The following is a 22,335-nucleotide window of genomic DNA, read 5'->3' as shown; positions in this document are numbered from 1 at the left end:
GAAATAAAAGGAAGCACCGATCTCAGTGAAGAAGGCTGAATTATATCTATTAATAACCAAATCTGTGTAGCACAGATTCAACCTAGTTGTTAGAAATGAAAAGCTGTGACAGCACGCTGCCACGCCGACGCAGACCACTCTCTGCATGCCAGCCCGCCCGCACCCACCATGGCCACAGTTCAGCAGCTGGAAGGAAGATGGCGCCTGGTGGACAGCAAAGGCTTTGATGAATACATGAAGGAGCTAGGAGTGGGAATAGCTTTGCGAAAAATGGGCGCAATGGCCAAGCCAGATTGTATTGTCACTTGTGATGGCAAAAACCTCACCATAAAAACTGAGAGCACTTTGAAAACAACACAGTTTTCTTGTCCCCTGGGAGAGAAGTTTGAAGAAACCACAGCTGATGGCAGAAAAACTCAGACTGTCTGCAACTTTACAGATGGTGCATTGGTTCAGCATCAGGAGTGGGATGGGAAGGAAAGCACAATAACAAGAAAATTGAAAGATGGGAAATTAGTGGTGGAGTGTGTCATGAACCATGTCGCCTGTACTCGGATCTATGAAAAAGTAGAATAAAAATTCCATCATCACTTTGGACAGGAGTTAACTAAGAGAATGACCAAGCTCAGTTCAATGAGCAAATCTCCATACTGTTTCTTTTTTTTTTTTCCATTACTGCGTTCAATTATCTTTATCACGAACATTTTACATGCAGCTATTTCAAAGTGTGTTGGATTAATTAGGATCATCCCTTTGGTTAATAAATAAATGCGTTTGTGCTAATAAAAAAAGAAAAAGAAAAAGAAAAAAAGAAAAAAAGAAATGAAAAGCTGTATAAAACGACTTAGGATTCCATTGCAGTAAGAACCTTATATAATCTTAGAGGAAAACAGGGCCATCTTTTAAATTTTATTTAAAGCTAAGCATACAGTTGGCATTTACTAACTGAATTATAATAATTTTAAGCACTGGATTTTATTCCAACTAACTTTATTATTGACTAGGCCAGATTGACTATTAGTTTTCAATTAATCTAACAATTACAAGAGTAGATTATAAAAGTATAATATTCCTACCCTTGAAACTTCCTACAGCACTCCTGATTCAGAAGTTCTTTTTGCTGTTCGTTTGCTTTTTTGAGACAGAGTTTCGCTGTTGTTGCCCAGGCTGGAGTGCAATGGCATGATCTCAGCTCACCGCAAACTCCACCTCCCAGGTACAAGTGATTCTCCAGCCTCAGCCTCCCAAGTAGCTGGGATTACAGGTACGCACCACCACGCCTAGCTAATTTTGTATTTTTAGTAGAAACGGGGTTTCTCCATGTTGGTCAGGCTGGTCTCGAACTCCCAACCTCAGGTGATCTGCCCTGCTCGGCCTCCCAAAGTGCTGGGATTACGGGCGTGAGCCACCACGCCCAGCCTAGGAGTTCTTTATTAAAAGATGAAGATATATTTTTTTCCTTGCTAATCAATAAGATAATACACTTCGAATGTTTACTTTCCTCTGTATAGGTCTAAACTATAATGTCTGATATTTCCGAATTACAACCATTTCCATGTTTAGAATATTTTCTTTTTTTCCTTTCTCAGACTCCAAATAATTCCTACTTCCTTTCTCTGCACTATCCCTGCCCTGATACTAATAGTCTGGGGCACCTTCAGTTTTTGGTTTTTTTCTTCTCCTATCCAGTCTACCCCAAGAAGTTTTTTGTTTTGTTTTGTTTTGGAGATGGAGTCTTACTGTGTCACCCAGGCTGGAGTGCAATGGCATGATCTCAGCTCACTGCAAAGTCCACCTCCCAGATTCAAGGGATTCTCCAACCTCAGCCTCCCAAGTAGCTGGGATTACAGGTGTGCACCACCACGCCCAGCTAATTTTTGTATTCTTAGTAGAGATGGGGTTTCACCATGTTAGCCAGGCTGGTCTTGAACCCCTGACCTCAAGTGATCCACTCATCTTGACCTCCCAAAGTGCTGGGATTCAGGTATGAGCCACACACCCGGCTCCATCCCTGAGAAATCTTAAAATCTACATTCACACAATTGCCATTTTATATCACAGCAGTAAAATACCTTTGGTACCTAGCATTCAACAATAGCTTTGTGATTACAAGTGAGGGTGTGGGAGGGAGAGGAAGGCAAAGTGTATTCATTTGTCACATTATCCCAAAAAGAAATATTTACTTTTTTTTTTTTTTTTTTTTTGAGGCGGAGTCTCACTCTGTCGCCCAGGCTGGAGTGCAGTGGCGCGATCTCGGCTCACTGCAAGCTCCGCCTCCCGGGTTCATGCCATTCTCTTGCCTCAGCCTCCCAAGTAGCTGGGACTACAGGCGCCCGCCACAACGCCCGGCTAATTTTTTGTATTTTTAGTAGAGACGGGGTTTCACCGTGTAAGCCAGGATGGTCTCGATCTCCTGACCTCATGATCCGCCCGCCTCAGCCTTCCAAAGTGCTGGGATTACAAGCGTGAGCTACCAAGCCCAGCCTATTTACATTTTTAAAGAAAGCTGATTATTTCCAAAAAGAGAATAAGAAAGAGGAATTTAGCAAGTTCTCATTTTAGCTCAAGGTAATTTTTCTTTCTACAGGACGTTTGTCTCATGTGAACAATTCTTACATGAAATTTCTTTTAATACATTATAAAATTTCTATTTCTTCATTATATCCATGATAGCCATTTCTTTTTTGTTTGTTTTGAGACAGGGTCTCACTCTGTCACCCAGGCTGGGGTAAAGTGGTGTGATCAAGGCTCACTGCAGCCTCAGTGACGTGGGAGTGGGATTGGGAGGCTGAGGTGGGAGGTGGTCCTGGGATTACAGGCACACACCACCACGCCCAGCTAATTTTTGTATTTTTAGTAGAGACAGGGTTTCACCATGTTGGCCAGGCTGGTCTCAAACTCCTGACCTCAAGTGATCCACCCGCCTCAGCCTCCCAAAGTGTTGGGATTACAGTCATGAGCTACCGCACCCAGCCGATAGCCATTTCTTCATAACATCTGGTTCAAGTTCAGATATTACCAGAAAGTTGATTATTTTCTGTTTTTTGTTGTTGTTGCTGTTGTTTTTTTTGTTTGTTTGTTTTACTAGCAATGCTCTATTTAACATTTAAAAAGTTTAAAATAGGCCAGGCACAGTGGCTCACACCTGTAATCTCACCATTTGGGAGGCCAAGGCTGGAGGATCACTTGAGGTCAGGAGTTGGAGACCAGCCTGGCCAACATGATGAAACCCCATCTCTACTAAAAATACAAAAATTAGCCGGGCATGGTGGCACGCACTTGTAATCCCAGCTACTGGGGTGGCTGAGGCAGGAGAATCACTTGAACCTGGGAGGCGGAGGTTGTGGTGAGTCGAATCGAGCCACCATACTCCAGCCTGAGCAACAGGGAGAGACTCTGGCTGAAACAAACAAACAAAAAAGTTTAAAACGATTCTAAAAACAACTGGATATAGTCTTTCTGTTTAGCTCATGTATTTTATTTTGTATTTATTTTGTATTTATTTTGTTTTTTAGAGACAGGGTCTCACTCTGTTGCACAGGCTGGAGTGCAGTGGCCTGATCATAGATCATAATTCATTGCAGCCTCAAATTTCTGGGCCCACCTCAAACCTCCTGAGGTGGATTTGCCACCATGCCACGCTAATTTTTTTAGTTTTTGTAGAGACAGGGTCTCATTATGTTACTTAGGCTGATCTCAAACTCTTGGGCTCAAAGGATCCTTCTGGCTCAGCACCCCAAACTGCTGGGATTACAGGCATGAGCCACCTGTGCCTGGCTAGCTTGCATATTTTAATGTTGCCGTTATATCCAATACTGTAAATAAATTCTAAGGGCTCCACAAACCCTTGGGGCTGGTGTGTTTGCACATATTCTTACCTTACTCCTGGAGTCTGCCTCTATTGTTAGACTTATCACTCTCTATTGTCATGGGTATTTGTCTATCCCACTAGATTGAGAGCTCCTTGAGGGCAAGACCTGTGGTTAGCATCAGATCAGGTTCTAAGGAGATAATTCGCAGGTGTTTGGGGAGTAAGTAAGTGAATTCCTTTGTGTTTGAGTGCACTGGAAGATTGTTCTCACCCACATTCCTCTTCCACTCCCTCTTTGCTCTCCATATACCATCTGATCTCCCTTCATTTTCCTGTGCGCAGCCCCCTGCTTCTCTCCCAGCGTAGGCCTACTCCTGACTTTCTGATCTCTCCGCTCGCAGTGCTGGAGACTTCAGGCTGGAAGCCTCAGGGAAGGCCTGCCCTGGGTGGCTCACCACAATTATGTGAGTTGCTAATCTTGATGTCATTGCTTGTCCTTTGGATATCTAAGGTGTCCCACTAAATAAGATCACTAAGTGACCTTTAAGATTCCTAACAATTCCAGGATTGTAAGATAAAAGAATTCAGGTCTATTCATTTTCATAGAAATTCCTGCTTCTGATACCAATGAAGTAGCAAGTCCTTGTCCTTTAGAGTCAGTCTACAAGTCAACCGTGGAAGGCAGGGAGGAAAATGTAGGCTCTAAAGAGAAGAGTAAAAATACATAGACAACATGGACGGATAGTCAGACTCACTCCCAATCTCTGCCAAAATTTGAACTCATCCTTCTCCCTTGTCCCTTTGCCGACCCTGGAAGGAATTTACACTAAATGTTTGGACTATCTGCCCAGGTATCAGAATTGCCTGGAACACTTGTTAAAATTCAAATTCCTGAGGCTCCTGCTGTACTCTTTGGAGGCTGGGGGCAGCACACCCCAAATTCTGAGTCACCGAGGCTGGAATGGTGCCAGGAATGCAGATGTTTAACTAGTTCCTCCAATGATGACACCTGGCCAGATTTAGAAACCAGGGACCTAGGGCAAGACTCACTAAAAAAATGCCAAGACCTTACCTCCTCCAAGGCTCCTGCAATCTGCCAGTAAGTAGATTTTGAGTAACTGAGGAGCTTTAACACTTGGCTATTAGATTAAAGTGGGTTTTGGTAGAGTGGTCAGAAACAAATAGGAGACGGCAAAGAGTTGAACTCAGCTGGGAAAAATCTAATGAGCTTTTTTGTTGTTGTTTTAAAGAATATACAATATGGCCAGGTGTGGTGGCTCACCCCTGTAATCCCAGCACTTTGGGAGGCTGAGGCAGATGGATCACCTAAGGTCAGGAGTTTGAGACCAGCCTGACCAGTATGGTGAAACCCTGTCTCTACTAAAAATACAAAAGTTAGCTGGGAGTTGTGGCAGGCTTCTGTAGTCCCAGCTACTAGGGAGGCTGAGACAGGAGAATTGTTGAACCCGGGAGGCAGAGGTTGCAGTGAGCTGAGATCACACCACTGCACTCCAGCCTGGGCGACTGAGTGAGACTCCATCTCAAAAAGAAAAACAACAACAACAACAAAAAATTAGCCAAGTGTGGTGGTGCATGCCTGTAATCCCAGCTACATGGGAGGCTAAGGCAGGAGAATCACTTGAACCTGGAGGCAGAGGTTCCAGTGAGCTGAGATCATGCCACTGTACTCCAACCTGGGTGATGAGTGAAACTCTGTCTCAAAAAATATATAAAAATTAAAAAATAAAAAATATATATACAATATGATTTGGTGACACAAAGAGGCCTCCACAGGCTGGAGAAAGGACCCCATCCAAGCGTAAGCATCAGAAAAGCAGGTTGTGTTTGTCTGAATGAAGAGGATGAGAGGGGTTTAAGAACATGGGAGCAATTACAGCACAGCCATGAAATCAAACATGAAAAAATTGGAAGGCATTTTTTCAACAAAAATCTAATAAGCACCCATCTGCCACGTTCTAAGGTGCTAAGCTTAGGTGCTCAGGGCTCAAGGCCCTCCACGCATGGTCCTTGCCTTAAAGAAACATAACCCAGTGAAAACCTCTGATATCAGCCAAAAGCAATTAAAGCACTTAAGGCCAACTTCATTTTACAGAAGAACATCAGGAATGGAGCATCTAGGAATTTCTCATTTAAGCTCCAGGATTCTGATTCCCCGACGGGGAGATGAAGTAGTTGCTTTGGCCGGGCACGGTGGCTCACGCCTGTAATCCCAGCACTTTGGGAGGCCAAGGCAGGCGGATCATGAGGTCAGGAGATGGAGACCACCCTGGCTAACACGGTGAAACCCTGTCTCTATTAAAAATACAAAAAATTAGCCGGGCGAGGTGGCGGGCCCCTGTAGTCCCAGCTACGCGGGAGGCTGAGGCAGGAGAATGGCGTGAACCCCGGGGGGCAGAGCCTCCAGTGAGCCAAGATTGTGCCACTGTACTCCAGCCTTGGTGACAGCGAGACTCTGTCTCAAAAAAAAAAAAAAAAAAAAAGAAAAGGTAAGCTAAATGAAAAGTTCAGACTGGGTAGAATGGCTCACACTTGTAATCTCAGCCCTTTGGAAGGCCCAGGTGGGAGGATCACTTGAGCCCAGGAGTTCAACACCAGCCTGGGCAACTTAGTGAAAACCTGTTTGTACAAAAAAAAAAAAAAATAGTTGATTTTAAATTTAAAAATGTTATCCACTGTCTTGTCCTTTAAATAAATAAATAAATAAATAAATAATATAAAAATTTTAGCTGGACATCATGGCCATGTTGATAGTCCTAGCTGCTCAGGAGGCTGAGCTGGGAGGATCCCTTGACCCCAGGAAGTCAAGGCTCTAGTGACCCGAGTACACCACTGCACTCCAGCCTGGGTGACAGAAGGAGACCCTGTTTCAAAAAGAAAAGAAAAGTTCACTTAGTTTCTCTTGGTCAAAGAGGTAAAGGGAAATGTTTTTTTCACGATGCGTCAATTCATGTCTTTTTTTCTTTTTTGAGATGGAGTCTCGCTCTGTTGCCCAGGCTGGATACAGTGGTGCAATCTCAGCTCACTGCAACCTCCACCTCCCGGGTTCAAACTATTCTCCTGCCTCAGCCTCCTAGGTAGCTGGGATTACAGGTGCCCACCACCACGCCCAGCTTTTTTTTTTTTTTTTTTTTTTTTTGTATTTTTAGCAGAGACGGGGTTTCACCATGTTGGTCAGGCAGGTCTTGAACTCCTGACCTCAGGATCCACCCACCTCAGCCTCCCAAAGTGCTGGGATTACAGACGTGAGCCACGTCGCCCGGCCCAATTCATGTCTTTATCACCTTTCCCCCTTTTATTTTTTTTCCTTTTGGTGGAGATGGTTTCCTCTTGTTGCTCCAGTCGATCTCAAGGGATCCGCCAGCTTGGGCCTCCCAAAATGCCAAGGGATCAGCCAACCAGCCTGGGCCTCTCACCACACCCAGCTCTCTCACGTTTTTCAATAGGCTCCTGGTTTCCCTGACTCTGGCCCTTCCTGTAAACCTAACATAGTAATCCAACATTAATTGTCCTTGTTCAAAAACGTTCCCTTGCTACCCAGTACAGAACAAAATGAAACAAGTAAAAAAAACTGAAAAAATTAAACTTGTGGCCAGATGCAGTGGCTCATGCCTGTAATCCCAGCACTTTGGGAGGCCGAGGCAGACGAATCACTTGATGTCGGGAGTTCGAGACCAGCCTGACCAACATGGAGAAACCCCGTCTCTACTAAAACTACAAAAACTAGCCGGGCGCGGTGGTGTGCGCCTGTAATCTTAGCTACTCAGGAGGCTGAGGCAGGAGAGTCGCTTGAACCCGGGAGGCAGAGGTTGCAGTGAGCAGAGATTGCACCATTACACTCTAGCCTGGGCAACAAGAGTAAAACTCGTCTAAAAAATAATAATAAAATAAAATAAATAAAATAAAAATCAAGTTTAAGGTGTTTTAATTAACTTTCGCATCTACAACATCAATGACGTTCACTGTACACAGGCAAATTCTAAATAATTAAGTAGTATTGAATAATGAAAACAATTGAGAGGGTCTCTCCTTATAAGTGACAATGCCATCAGTCAGATTTCCGTAATAACTAACATTTTACTGTGGGCTGTGTGCAAATGATTTGAACATAACATTTATGTCTGAAATAAAACTCTTCAATTGCTTCTTCCACCAAGAAAAAAAAAAAGGCTGGGGAAAGAAAACATCTAATTTTAATGCAACACTAAATCCAAAGGCAGTACAGCTGTTTGGTTTTGGTTGTTTAGCTCAGCTGTTTTATTCTGAGAAAAGCACAGCTGCCCTTTGATGTTGTCTGTTATTCAAGACTGTACTTTAGGAGGGTTAAATGTATGAGAGCTCACAGACCATTGGTAGGTTTAGTTTCTCCTCTTGCTATAGTGCTATTTATTGGTCTTCCTTCTTTAAGTTTTAACATAGCCTAACATAGGCTATGTTAAAACTTAAAGGCAAACTCTTTCCCTTGAATTTTGCCTTTCTCTTCAGAATTCTGCTCCCAAGAGCAGCACTGTGGGTGGAAGGATAAGTTAGTACTTTTTTTTAAGAACAATTTTGAGAACCTATTCAGATTTAAAATGACCTTTTTTTTATTATTTATTTATTTATTTATTTATTTTAGAGACGGGGTTTCGCTCTTGTTGCCCAGGCTGGAGTGCAATGGCGAGATCTCGGCTCACCGCAAACTCCGCCTCCCAGGTTCAAGCAATTCTCCAGCCTCACCCTCCCAAGTAGCTGGGATTACAGGCACACACCACCACGCCTGGCTAATTTTTTTGTATTTTTAGTAGAGACAGGGTCTCACCATGTTGGCCAGGCTGGTCTCAAACTCCTGACCTCAAGTGATCCACCCGCCTCAGCTCCCAATGTTCTGGGATTACAGGCATTAGCCACCATGCCTGGCTAAAATATATCATCCATATTTGGATGATATTTAAAAACTATTAGCTGGGCATGGTGGCACATGGCTGTAATTCTAGCCACTCAGGAGGCTAAGGCAGGAGGATCCCTTGTGCCCAGGAGTTTGAGGCTGCAGTCATCTTTAAGTGGTACATACTAAAATGTATATATTCTTTTCTTTTTTTTTTTTTTTTTCCGAGATGGAGTCTCACTCTGTCACCCTGGTTGGAGTGCAATGGTACGATATCTGCTCACCGCAACCTCCACCTCCCGGGTTCAAGCAATTCTCCTGCCTCAGCTCCTGAGAAGCTGGGATTACAAGCGCCCACCACCACTCCTGGCTTATTTTTGTATTTTTAGTAGAGATGGGGTTTCACCATGTTGGCCAAGCTGGTTTTGAACTCCTGACCTCAAATGACCCGCCCTCCTTGGCCTCCCAAAGTGCTGGGATTATAGGCGTGAGCCACTGCACCTGGCCTACATACTAAAATATTTACAAATGAAATTATATGGTGTCTGAGGTTTGCTTTCAAATAATCTAGGGGAGGGAAGACAGGGAAGAGTTGAGAGTACAGGTAGATTAAAGTTGGCTGAGAGTTGATCATTGTAAAAGCTGGGTAAAGAGGGTGAGTATTCATTATACTTTTCTATTTTTATATTTGTTGCAAACTTCCATAATAAAGAGGTTTGGTTTTTGTTGTTGTTTTGTTTTTTGAGACAGAGTCTCATTCTGTCACCCAGGCTGGAGTGTAGTGTCGTGATCTCAACTCACTGCAACCTCTGCCTCCTGGGCTCAAGTGATCCTCCCACCTTAGCCTCCCCAGTAGCTGGGATTTACAGGCACCAAGTCACCACACCTGGCTACTTTCTGTATTTTTGTAGAGACAGGGTTTCGCCATGTGGCCCAGGGTGGTCTCCAACTCCTGGGCTGAAGGGATCTGCCTCGGCCTCTCAAAGTGCTGGGATTACAGGTGTGAGTCACCATGCTCAACCCATAAAAAAGGTTTTAAATATGATAAATTTAAAAACATGAATGTTTAAATACCTTGATCCCTGGTTCCTCATTTAGCGATCTATCCTACAGAAATACTCAAACACAGGCCAGGCTGCAGTGGCTCACACCTATAATCCCAGCACTTTGGGAGGCTGAGGTGGGTGGATCACTTGAGCCCAGGAGTTCAAGACCAGCCTGGGCAACATGGCAAAACCCTGTCTGTACAAAAATGCAAAAATTAGTCAGGCACTGTGGTGTGCACCTGTAGTCCTAGCTACTCAGGAGGCTGAGGTAGGAGGATCACTTGAGTCTAGGATTTTGAGGCTGCAGTGAACCATGATCACACCACTGCACTCCAGCCTGAGGGACAGAACGAAAGCCCATTTCAAAAAAAAAAAACACATGCACACATTGTGGAAAAAGATGTTTCCTTTGACATTGTCTGTAACAGCAAATAACTGGAAACTGGATTCATGTCCAACAATGGAGGAATGGTTAAAATTAACTGTAATTCATTCAACTGGGTATTTTTATGACCTCCCACCCCCAACTTAGAGTTGGTTAATAAAGGATAATGCTAATAAAAGTTAGAAGATACTACCTATGAGGACACCGAATGACATCCCAAGGAGGAAATCTCTAACTGAAGAGAGGTCTGACAGTACACTGAGGGAAGGTGCAATACCAAGCCCCTAAAAGGGGAGTAAATAATCTACTTGGAAATCTTATGGATCACTATGCCAGCAATCCTGATGACTCAGAACAGGAGAGTGCTGACAAACGCAGGGTGATGTCACCATTTCCTGCCTCAGGAAGTCGGCTAGAAGGGGAGGAGAGGCCTGTGGCAGGTAAAGATCAAAGGCCTGGAAGCATTGTTCTCTCCCTTTATTCCTGCCTCTCTGTAGGTATAATCACCAGAAATGTACTTATTACCTTCTCACAGTCACTTGTCTTATTTGGCTTGGATGAAGGCTTTTTCGAGTGGACAAAGCACTTGCTTGAAATCCTCCCAAGCTCCAGGGTTTTATCTTGGCAGCTCTGATCCTCCACTATCCCTCAAGAGACAGTCAAGATCGGCGCATCTCTCTCTGGGCAGGTGAATCCACTTACCATGGTCTTAACAGGGCTCACCTGCTACTCTTGGCAGGCTCAGGCTGGCTGCACCTTGGAACAGACTCCCGCCCTAAAGGGAGCCTGGGGAGCCCTCTAGATGAGCTGAGAGTTCCCTTCATGTCTTGTTTCCTTAATTCCCGGATTCTGATGGGCTTCCCTATATAGAGCATGCCTCTTGAAACAGGTATGCTACTGTAGAAAGAGTCAATGAGGGCCGGGCTTGGTGGCTCACGCCTGTTATCCCAACACTTTGGGAGGCTGAGGTGGGCAGATCACCTGAAGTCGGGAGTTCAAGACCAGCCTGGCCAACATGGTGAAACCCCATCTCTACTAAAAATACAAAAGTTAGCTGGGCATGGTGGCGCACACCTGTAGTCCCAGCTACTCGGGAGGCTGAGGGAGGAGAATCGCTTGAACCAGGGGGGCAGAGGCTGCAGTGAGCTGCGATGGTGCCACTGCACTCCAGCCTGGGTGACAGAATGAGACTCCGACTCAAAAAACAAAAAAAGAGTCAATGAGTTCAAATCAGAACAGCCTGCTCTGTCTCTTACTGGCTGTGTTTCCATGAGGAAAATGAGTTCCTTAACCTTCCTGGGCGTTATTGTTCTCATCTATAAATTTGCTACAGTAAGAAGTGAATTATAGGATTATAGTAAGGGAAGTCATGTGTGTTAAAGGGCTCAAGGGCCTGACACAGTACCCTGGCAAATCGTATGTTAGTTATGTCAGGAAAAACTGCCTGCGTTTCAGCACCCTGTGACCACCAACCTTACAAGATTACATCTAGTCACCTGACTAGTGACCCCAAATTCATTTGACTACCACTTTCCCCCAAAACAGCCCCTTGCTGTTTATTACGACAGTTCTTCTCTTGGTCACTGTTTATTGTGTCATTATTGTGTCATCTTTGATTAATGGTGTCTATAGCCATGCTATGATGGCTACACCTCTCAAAGTAATTATAGAGGTACAGTGGCCAGGCACCACGGCTCATGCCTTGTAATCTCAGCACTTTGGAAGGGCAAGGTGGGAGGATTGCTTGAGCCAAGGAGTTTGAGACCAGCCTGGGCTAGTGAGACCCTCATCTCTATTATTAAAAAAGAGAAAAAGAAAAAAATAAAAATGACATATAGTTATGGAAAACAAATTGTTGATTTTTTCAAAAAGAAAGACAGTATCACTTTCCTCTTAGCTAACACTCAATCCAGGAAGACCTGAGACAAGGATGCAGGCCCCTGAGTGTTCCAGCTCTTTGTTGCTTCAGATCTTCCCAGTTACTGGGCCACACACATCTACTCAGGGAATAAGCCACTTGCCAAGGTCCAGTTTCCACTGGGCCAGAGTCAGATTATCAGTAATGGCTACATACGAAACTTACCTCCAGAAAAATGTGTAGATCCTTGCTTTACATCTGTGTAATTAAATGTGCCATCCAGGGAAGGTTTTTTCCCCTAAAAATAACAAACAGGCACCTCCAAAAATGAACTTAGGCCTTTAACGCTTAACAGAAAAAAAAGTCTACCTTTTTTTTGAGACATGGTCTTGCTCTGTGACCCAGGCTGGCATACAGTGGTACCATCACGGCTCACTGAAGGCTCAACTTCCAGGGCTCAAGCAATCCTCCCACCTCAGCACCCCCAGTAGCTGGGACTACAGGCGTGTCCTACAATACTGGGCTAATTTTTTTACTTTTTTGTAGAGACAGGGTCTCCCTATGTTGCCTAGGCTGGTCTTGAACCCTTGAGCTCAAGGGATCCTCCTGCTGTGGCCTCCCTAAGTGCCAGGATTGCAGGTGTGAGCCACCACACCCAGCCAAAAGTCTACTTTTTTTAGTCCATTCACGTTTAGTGTAACAATTGATATGGTAGGATTTAGGTTAACCATTTTACTATTTTTTTCTCTTTTTTCCCACTGATGTTTTGTATCTCTCTTCTTACTTCCCTGCTTTCTAAGTATTTGAATATTTCTTTAAAATTCTATTTTATCTATCTGCTTTTTAGTTATGTCTCATTGTATTTTTTTACTGTTTTCTTGGAGATTACTATAAAAATATATATGTATATATGTGTATATATATGTATATATATGTGTATATATATGTGTATATATATATGTATATATATGTGTATATATATGTGTATATATATGTGTATATATATGTGTATATATATGTATATATATGTGTATATATATGTGTATATATATGTGTATATATATATTTTTTTAAATATATATTTTTTTAAGACAAAGTCACTCTGTCACCCAAGCTGGAGTGTAGTGGTGTGGTCACGTCTCACTGCAACCTCCACCTCTGGGCTCAATGGATCCTGCCACCCCAGCATCCTGAGTAGCTGGGACTACAGGCTCATGCCACCATGCCCAGCTAATTTTCTTATTTTTTGTAGAAATGAGGTCTATGTTGCCCAGGCTGGTCTCGGACTCCTGGACTCAAGCAACCCTCCTGCCTTGACCTCCCAAAGTGCTGGGATTACAGGTGTGAGCCACTGCATCCAGCCTATAACTTTACAGAAAGTTTACCTTTTATTTAACTTTTCACAATGTAAAGTTAATACCGAACTACTTCATGTAAAATCTGGAAACCTTCGAAACATACAAGTCCATTCACCATCTCTCTGCTTTTTTGCTATGGTTGTCAAATGTATTACATCTATTAGAACCCCCACAGACAATGTTATCATTTTTTCTTTAAACACTCATAAAAAGTTTAAATAAATTAGCTCAAAAAAGTAACATTCATAAAATATCTCTAATTTTCTTAAAGGAAAATATTCTTAGTAAAATGCCTGGAAGATCTAAGTACTTTGTATCTATCTATCACAATATTTAGTTCCTTCTTATTACCCCCAAGTAACTGGCTCTGCTTTTATTATTTTTAATTTTCAGTCTTTTAGACCTTGTTTATCTGATGCCATTCCAGGATTATACGTAGTTGAAAAAAGAAAAACAAAACAAAACATAAAATCTCTTCATTTGTTTCGCTTTTGGTCAAAACATTTGCATTGTCAGTAATGTCATAACAATCACGTTTTCAAGGCAGGAAACTAAACACATCTTTCAACAAAGAAATACCTCACATTCTGATAGGTAAGCCTTACGGGGAGAGTCTTTGATGGTCTATTGGCCCTTCCCATTTTTATAACAATCTACTCATTTGGTGGACATTTTTATGACAACCAAGACAGCATTCAAGACATCTGGAGTATAGAATGCTACAATTATAAAAGTACTCAATTAAAATTCTTATTTATGTTCGTGTAAAATGTATGAAATGTTCTGGAGAAACAGGCTGGGAAGATAACTATCTTCGCAAGCTCCTATTACAGTGATGACAAGTGTAATTTGGTACTGCAGTTCTATAAAAGCTTTGCTTCTCCGCCACCTCTTACAAGCCCTGCATAAGGTGAGGCAGAAAAAGGAGCCCCATCACTCACTCTGGCTCTATCACCTGGGTTTTTACCCACAGGTGAACAAAAGCTCCACAATTCACTTGAAGTCATGTAAGTCCAGGTGAATCCGGAACCCAAGAAAAATTAATAGTCAAAGAGGAATCAGTGACATTTTCAACAAAATGTACACTCCCAAAGCCTTTTGTGTTTGGGGGGGAATTATTGCGCTTGTTTTAGTTTTTTTGTTTCTGGTTTTGTGTCATTTTTAAGAGATGGGGAAGGAAAACCCTTTTCTCTGGAGAAATAAAGAAATTCTGTCCAGATGGGGTGGCTCATGCCTGTAATCCTAGCACTTTGGGAGGCCGAGGCAGGCGGATCACCTGAGATTGGGAGTTTGAGAGCAGCCTGGCCAACACGGTGAAACTCCGTCTCTACTAAAAATACAAAAATTAGCTGGGCATGGTGGCGTGCACCTGTAATCCCAGCTACTCGGAAGCCTAAGGCAGGAGAATCACTTGAACCCTGGAGGTGAAGTTTGCAGTGAACCAAGATCACGCTATTGCACTCCAGCCTGGACGGCAAGAGTGAGACTCTGTCTCAAAAAAAAGTAAAGCTCTATATCCTTGACCACACAGTTTCTATATCCACACAGAAACTGGGCAGGCATGGTGGCTCACACCTGTAATCCCAACACTTTGGGAGGCCGAGGCAGGCTGATTATGAGGTCAAGAGATGGAGACCATCCTGGCCAACATGGTGAAGCCCCATCTCTACTAAAAATACAAAAAATTAACTGGGTGTGGTGGTGGGCACCTGTAGTCCCAGCTACTTGGGAGGCTGAGGCAGGAGAATCACTGGAACCCGGGAGTCAGAGGTTGCAGTGAGCCGAGATCATGCCACTGCACTCCATTTTGGTAACAGAGTGAGACTCTGTCTCAAAAAAAAAAAAGAAAAGAAAAAGAAAATTTGCTGTACTTACCATCTTTTTTCATTTAGTGCTTTCACGTAGATGTCTCCTCAGGTAGACACAGGGATAAGATACTAATCTAATACACAATGATATGAGGGCCAATTAATCATTCCATTTTGTTTCAGAGTTGTGACTTCTTAGATAAAATATTCTATGTAAACACACAAAATATATGATTAACTTTGCTCATTTTAGGGTCAAAGAGGAAAAAAATCACTTTATTTCTTTTTTAAGTCTTCATTCCTTTCACGCACATAAGAAACTGATGTACTTAGCAAGGTGTGTTCATTTAGGTCCAGAAGATTTCAGAGGTGGCCTTGAATCCTATTATATAGATCCTAGTGTAACCATTATTCAGCAAAGCAGTATTGTCAAAAACATTTTTCAATTTATTTATATCCAAACTTTAAAATGCTCTCATATTGATTTTAAGGCATTTCCAACTGCAACACAGAACAATAGATTTTCAATAGCTTCTGGTGAGAATTCATGAACAGTGTTTACATTTTTTCACTCAGATGACCCTAATTTGCTGAGGTACCTAAGATTATGAGCTGTTTTTACAGATCCCTTTATTTAGTCAACATGTACTTACTGAACATTTACTGTGTGCCAAGTCCAGTGTGGAAAATACAGAAACACAGAGACAAATGATTCTTTCCCGTGCTTTTATTTCTTTTTTCTTTTCTTTTTTTTTTTTTAATCTTTTTTTTTTTTTTTTTGAGACAGAGTCTCACTCTGTCACCCAGGCTGGAGGGCAGTGGTGAGATCTTGGCCCACCTCCACCTCCTGAGTTGAAGCGATTCTTCTGCCTCAGACCCCCGAGTAGCTGGGATTACAGGCGCCCGCCACCACAGCTGGCTAATTTTTGTATTTTTACTAGAGACAAGGTTTCACCATGTTGGTCAGGCTGGTCTCAAACTCCTGACCTTGTGATCTGCCCGCCTCGGCCTCCCAAAGTGCTGGGATTATAGGCGTGAGCCACCGCACCCAGCCCTCTGTTTTATCTCTATCTTTCATGTTAAATGTTTTGTTCAGATATCTGTTATTTCTTAGTTGTCTGTTAATATTTATTTTTATTTTTATTTATTTATTTATTTGTGAGATGGAGTTTCACTCTTGTTGCCCAAGCTGGAGTGCAATGGCACGATCTCGGCTCACTGCAACCTCTGCCTCCCAGGTTCAAGCGATTCTCCTGCCTCAGCCTCCGGAGTACCTGGGATTACATGCGCCCACCACCACGCCCAGCTAATTTTTGTATTTTTAGTAGAGACAAGGTTTCACCATGTTGGCCAGGCTGGTCTCGAACTCCTGACCTCAGGTGATCCACCCACCTCAGCCTCCCAAAGTTCTGGGATTACAGGTGTGAGCCACTGTGGCCTGCCATCTGTTAATATTTAATAGTGAAGGACCAAAGAGTTGATTGGAAGCGCTGGACACATGTGTGGGTCTAGTCATCTGTGGGTTTCTCTGTGAATGATCTGGCTGGGCCATTTTATTGGAGAACTTGGGATTTTCCATATATTTAGTTATTTCTCTTGGACTGGTCCATTCCAAAGACTCTTTCAGCCTCCTACCTTGATAAAGACTTGGTCTCCAGCACTCTGGGAACCAAGGGAAGAAGAGAAAAAATCTCAGCCTCCTAAACAATTTAAAGAGCCTTACCAGTTATCTTAAATTGCACTAATGCTATAGTTTCTTTTTTGAGGCCTAACAAATACACTGTATTTTACATTATCAGAATGTAATTTACATTAATTACTATGTTAATGAGTACATAAAACATTCTTTTGCATAAAAAAGCTTAGCCTCCAATATGCATACATTCATTTAATCCTCCTAATTTTCTGTTTGGCATTCCTGCCCTCAACTGGGGCTTGTTTTTTTTTTTTTTTTTTTGGAGGCGGAGTCTCACTCTGTTGCCTAGGCTGGAGTGCAGTGGCGCAATCTCGGCTCGCTGCAACCTCCACACCTCCCAGGTTCAAGCGATTTCTCCTGCCTCAGCCTCCTGAATAGCTGGGACCGCAGGCGCCTGCCACCACGCCTGGCTAATTTTTGTATTTTTAGTAGAGACGGGGTTTCATCATGTTGGCCAGGCTGGTCTTGAACACCTGGCCTCATGTGATCCTCCTGACTTGGCCTCCCAAAGTGCTGGAATTACAGGCATGAGCCACCGTACTAGAAACTGGGGCTTGTTTACTCTGTTTAGAAATACTGTATCTTTCCCCTCTCCAGAAAATAAGCCTATAAATCCTCACTTTTCCACTGGGTGGGGACTGATTATTCCCTATCCAAAGTGTGTTTTTGTTGGGGTTCGAAGAGAAGTGGGGAACTAAGGAATGAACAACTTAGACAAACTGTTAACAGTCTTTTGGTTTTTTTTTTGTTTAAATTTATTTATTGCAGAACACCTCAGAGACTTTATTATTCCAGCATGTGTTGTGAATCTTCTAGATTTGGCAGGTCCTTGTTTAACCATAGGGCCCTTTTCCTACAGGTGTGTCCGAGGAATTCATCTGAGAGAAATACTGCATTAGATGCTTAAAATAGGTGAAGATCTCTTGAAACTTTAGATAGGAAGAGGTGCCACCACTTGACTCCATGGCATGTCTTTGGAGGTTCCTGGGACAGTACTCAGGAGTTTGGACACTGTCATCTTTATTCATCCAATTTTGTCCTGGGCAAGATCTTGCTGGTTGAAACGAAGTGATTTGGGGGTTGTTTCCTTCATCAAAGAAGCTGTTGAATAGTTCTGAAGGCTAGATCTTTACCTAGAAGTCTATGCGAGTTTCTATTCAATATCTATCTACTCCTACTGTTTCTTTGTAAACAAACTATAGCGATTAGACAAAAATTGGGCAGTACGCCAAGTTCCAATTGGCAAGATTATGTGAGTGGATATATACATATACATATATACATATATATATATGTATATATAGTCATTCAAATGTCTTTGGGTACCAAATAGCATTAAGCTTTAACCTTCATATTTAAGAATATTACCATTTATATGACACCAAATGCCTTCATGGGGTGACATGCACTGAGAGGGTCAGATGGAATAAAGATTGCTGATTTACAAACAAAAATGAAACTTCTGAGTTTTCATGTAACAAACTCTTCCAATCGTATATAGCTTTTATGGGATTTATTGTGCTTTTCTTCTTTTTATTTTTTTGAGACGAGGTCTCATTCTGTTGCTCAGGCTGGAGTGCAGTGGTGTGAATACAGCTCCCTGCAATCTCAGCCTCCTGGGCTCAAACGATCCTCCCACTCAGTCTCCAGGTAGCTGAGTCAACAAGCACGAGGCACGCACCAACCTAATTTTTTTAGTTTTTATAGAGACAGGGTCTCCTGGGCCCAAGCAGTCCTCCTGCCTTGACTTCCCAAAGTGCTGGGATTACAGGCATGAGCCACCATATTTTTTGTCTTAATAGTCACTGTTAAAACAGTTACAAATTTCCAGGTTTTGTCACCTATAACTTCAGTATGAGTAATTTTTAAAAAAGTCTCCCATTGATTAGTTTCACACTGTAGTCAAGAATCTAACCAAAGATGGAATTTGGTTAACTTCAAAGTAGGGACCAGATTTAGTAATAGAGAATAAAGCCCTTCTTTGTTACATTACAGCCCACGAGTTAATCCAAAAAGTTCTGGTGGGCTTAATTACAGATAGGAAAAGGAATTTAGCTAGATTTTTAAAAATATTTTTATGTAGGCAGGCCAGGTCATGTTTATCTAAGGATTCTCTAATTGGATGCCATGAAGTGACATGCTTAATGTGAGCTGCAATATAAGAATGAAATGACAACATGAAGTAGAACAAGATAACTTAGTAGTGGGGAGAATAAAAATTAACTGAAGATAGTTAACCCCAAAACATTACTTATTTGAAATCAAGTCACATAATTGCACTTGGAACCTGGTATATTGCTCAATTTTTGTCTAATTGCTGTAGCTCGTTTACAGATAAACAGTCAGAATATGTTTGAACCCAGATAGTCATTAAATGAGCATAACAATGATAAGCAATTAAATTATTTGCAACTTTGAAAAGTTGGTTAGGCATAGTTGCCTTTTGAAAATCATTTTCCCTTGAAAACTCACTAATACTGTTTAAAAATACACAAGGTATTACATGTTTGCTTGCATTATAATCACAGTTTCATGTTCACATACCTTATCAAAAATCCAACACCAACACTGTATCAACAGTGCAACATGAAGAGGAAATTTGGCAAACATTAGATGTATTCAATTGCTGCAGTGGCTTAAGTCAATTCACACAGAAATAGGAGGTAATTTTTTGACATCTCCTTATCAATCAATTAGAGCTGAATCACAAAAAGAATCTAAGAAGTTTCAGGGCAGGGGTGGACACAGTAGCTCACGCCTGTAATCACAAGTTGGGAAGTCAAGGTGGAGGGATCCCTTGATCCCAGGAGTTCAAGACCAGCCTGGGCAACACAGGGAGGCTCCCGTCTTCAGACACACACAAAATTAGCCAGGCATGATGACTCACACCTGTAGTCCCAGGTACTTGGGAGACTTAGATGGCCGGATTGCTTGAACCTGGGAGGTCAAGGCTGGAGTGAGCCACGGTCATGCCATGCACTCCAGCCTGGGTGACAGAGCAAGACCCTGTCTCAAAAAGAAAAAGAAATAAAAGAGAAGAAAAGAAAGAAAAGACAAAGGGAGGAAAGAGGGAAGGAAGGAAGGAAGAAAGCGAGGAAGGGAGGGAGGGAGGGAGGGAAAAAGCTGTGGCAAAGGAATGAAGTGTGTAATATTCTTGAGCTAGATATTACTCCAATGATTAGGAAGAGTGAGGAGTCAAATAATGAGGCTAAATAAACATGTTGCCAAAATACATAACTGCAGTTTTTTACTTCAGATCTGAGAACATTGGGGATCCCTCCCCCATACCATTTATTGTGGGAATATGTAATAGTGATACTGATTTTTCTTCACTTTTTTGGAGTGCAGTGGTGCGATCTCGGCTCACTGCAACCTCCACCTCCCAGGTTCAAGTGATTCTCCTGCCTCAGCCTCCCAAGTAGCTGGGATTACAGGTGCATGCCACCATGCCCAGCTAATTTTTGTATTTTTAGTAGAGATAGGGTTTTGTCATGTTGGCCAGGCTGGTCTCGAACTCCGACCTCAGGTAATCCACTTGCCTCAGCCTCCCAAAGTGCTGGGAATACAGGCATGAGCCACCATGCCTGGCTTTTCTTCACTTTTTTTAAACTAACGCTTTTCTTTTAGTAGTTGTAGATTTACTGAAGTATTGCAGATAATAGAATTCCTCTAACCCCATTCCCAGTTTCCCAGGGGGAAACAGCTTACATTAGTATGATATTAACAGCTTACATTAGTATGATACATTTGTCACAATCAATGAATTAATATGGACACATTACAGCCGAAAAGGGCATGGTGGCTCACACCTATAATCCCAGGATTTTAGGAGGGGAAGGTGGGTAGATCACTTGAGGTCAGGAGTTTGAGACCAGCCTGGCCAACATGGTATAAAACCCTGTCTCTACAAAAAATACAAAACTTGCCGGGCGCAGTAGCTCACTCCTGTAATCCCAGTACTTTGGGAGGCTGAGGCGGGCAGATCATGAGGTCATGAGATCGAGACCATCCTGGCTAACACGGTGAAACCCCGTCTCTACTAAAAATACAAAAATTAGCTAGCTGTGGTGGCGGGCACCTGTAGTTCCAGCTACTCGGGAGGCTGAGGCAGGAGAATGGCGTGAACCCAGGAGGCGGAGCTTGCAGTGAGCCAAGATCGCGCCACTGCACTCCAGCCTGGGCGACAGAGCGAGACTCCATCTCAAAAAAAAAATAAATAAATACAAAAATTAGCCGGGTGGCACACACTTGTAATCCCAGCTACTTCGACGGGCAGGCAGGGAGGTGCTGAGGTGAAAGTATCACTTGAACCCAGGAGGCAGAGGTTGCAGTGAGCCAAGATCACGCCACTGCATTCCAGCCTGGGCTACAGAGCGAGACTCCATCTCAAAAAAAAAAAAAAAAAAGATACATTAGTGAAATTCTATACTTTATTCAAATTTCCTCCATTCTCCCCCAGTGCCCTCCTTCTGTGCTAGAATCCCATCCACATGCCACATGACATTGTATCGTCATGTCTCTTGACTTTGACAATCTGTCAGACTTTGTGTTTGATGGCCTGATAGTTTGAGGAATACTTATCAGGTATTTTGTAGAATATCCCTCAATTGCAGTTTGTCTGATGTGTTTCTCATGATCACGCTGGGGTACATGTTTTCAGAAGGAGAAGCAAAGTTCCATTTTCATCACATCATATCAAGGGTACACACTATCAGCGTGACTTATCACTGCTGAGGTGGACCTTGATCAACTGGTTGAGGTGGTGAGGGCAGACTTACCCACTGTAAAGCTACTCTTCCTCCTCTCCTCCTTTCCACAAGGTAATCTTTGGAAGGAAGTCACTATATGTAGCCCACACTGAAGAGTAGACAGTTTTCTTCCACTCTTTGAGGGTGAGGTATCTAAAAAACTTACTTGGAGTCATTCGGCACAGATCTCTCTCTTCTGTTTATGCAACCATTTATATCAGTACAGACAAAGGGATAGTTTATACTGTATTATAATGCAATCCTGCTTTACTTTGTTGCTGACATACCCCGATTATTGTAGGGTTCTTTTTTTTTTTTTGACAGGAAGTCTCACTCTTGTCCCCCAGGCTGGAGTGCAATGGCACAATCTTGGCTCACTGCAACCTCTGCCTCCTGGGTTCAAGCGATTCTCCTGCCTCAGCCTCCCGAGTAGCTGGGATTACAGACACCTGCCACCACGCCCGGCTACTTTTTGTATTTTTAGTAGAGACGGGGTTTCACCATGTTGGCCAGGCTAGTCTTGAACTCCTGACCTCAGGTGATCTGCCCGCCTCAGCCTCCCAAAGTGCTGGGATTACAGGCATGAGCCACCGCGCCCGGCCGGGTTTTTTCATCGCTTCCTATATTCCTTCTGATATACCACTTTCTCACACTACAGGATGCTCCGGACTTGCATGTTTCCCACTCCAATCTTAGAATCAGCTGTTTCTCTAAGGAGCTCATTTTTTAAAAATTGGACA

General features: G+C 42.8%; 1 pseudogene, besides 6 other annotated features; it reads left to right on the top strand.

Moving 5' to 3' along the window:
* FABP5P1 (fatty acid binding protein 5 pseudogene 1) lies at positions 109-783 on the top strand (annotated as a pseudogene).
* Positions 9,952-10,505: an enhancer, noted in NCBI's record as "OCT4-NANOG-H3K27ac-H3K4me1 hESC enhancer chr13:73664787-73665340 (GRCh37/hg19 assembly coordinates)". NCBI's record gives its function as "activates a minimal SCP1, AML or CMV promoter by ChIP-STARR-seq in primed H9 embryonic stem cells {active_cell/tissue: H9 hESC(primed)}" and the evidence as "EXISTENCE:reporter gene assay evidence [ECO:0000049][PMID:30033119]".
* Positions 9,952-11,614: a biological region, named in NCBI's record as "P300/CBP strongly-dependent group 1 enhancer GRCh37_chr13:73663997-73665196".
* Positions 10,096-11,295: an enhancer, noted in NCBI's record as "P300/CBP strongly-dependent group 1 enhancer chr13:73663997-73665196 (GRCh37/hg19 assembly coordinates)". NCBI's record gives its function as "activates an origin of replication core promoter dependent on BRD2, BRD4, P300/CBP, MED14 and CDK7 cofactors, with strong dependence on P300/CBP, by STARR-seq in HCT116 cells {active_cell/tissue: HCT116}" and the evidence as "EXISTENCE:reporter gene assay evidence [ECO:0000049][PMID:35650434]".
* Positions 10,389-10,683: an enhancer, noted in NCBI's record as "tiled region #2769; HepG2 Activating DNase matched - State 5:Enh, and K562 Activating DNase unmatched - State 6:EnhF". NCBI's record gives its function as "activates a minimal TATA promoter and a strong SV40 promoter by Sharpr-MPRA in HepG2 and K562 cells {active_cell/tissue: HepG2 | K562}" and the evidence as "EXISTENCE:reporter gene assay evidence [ECO:0000049][PMID:27701403]".
* Positions 10,506-11,059: an enhancer, noted in NCBI's record as "OCT4-NANOG-H3K27ac-H3K4me1 hESC enhancer chr13:73664233-73664786 (GRCh37/hg19 assembly coordinates)". NCBI's record gives its function as "activates a minimal SCP1, AML or CMV promoter by ChIP-STARR-seq in primed H9 embryonic stem cells {active_cell/tissue: H9 hESC(primed)}" and the evidence as "EXISTENCE:reporter gene assay evidence [ECO:0000049][PMID:30033119]".
* Positions 11,060-11,614: an enhancer, noted in NCBI's record as "NANOG-H3K27ac-H3K4me1 hESC enhancer chr13:73663678-73664232 (GRCh37/hg19 assembly coordinates)". NCBI's record gives its function as "activates a minimal SCP1, AML or CMV promoter by ChIP-STARR-seq in naive H9 embryonic stem cells {active_cell/tissue: H9 hESC(naive)}" and the evidence as "EXISTENCE:reporter gene assay evidence [ECO:0000049][PMID:30033119]".

This window comes from Homo sapiens, chromosome 13, assembly GCF_000001405.40.
Source record: "Homo sapiens chromosome 13, GRCh38.p14 Primary Assembly".
Classification (NCBI taxonomy): domain Eukaryota; kingdom Metazoa; phylum Chordata; class Mammalia; order Primates; family Hominidae; genus Homo; species Homo sapiens.
Note: the sequence above shows the minus strand (reverse complement) of the source record. Positions and strands in the feature narration are given on the sequence as shown.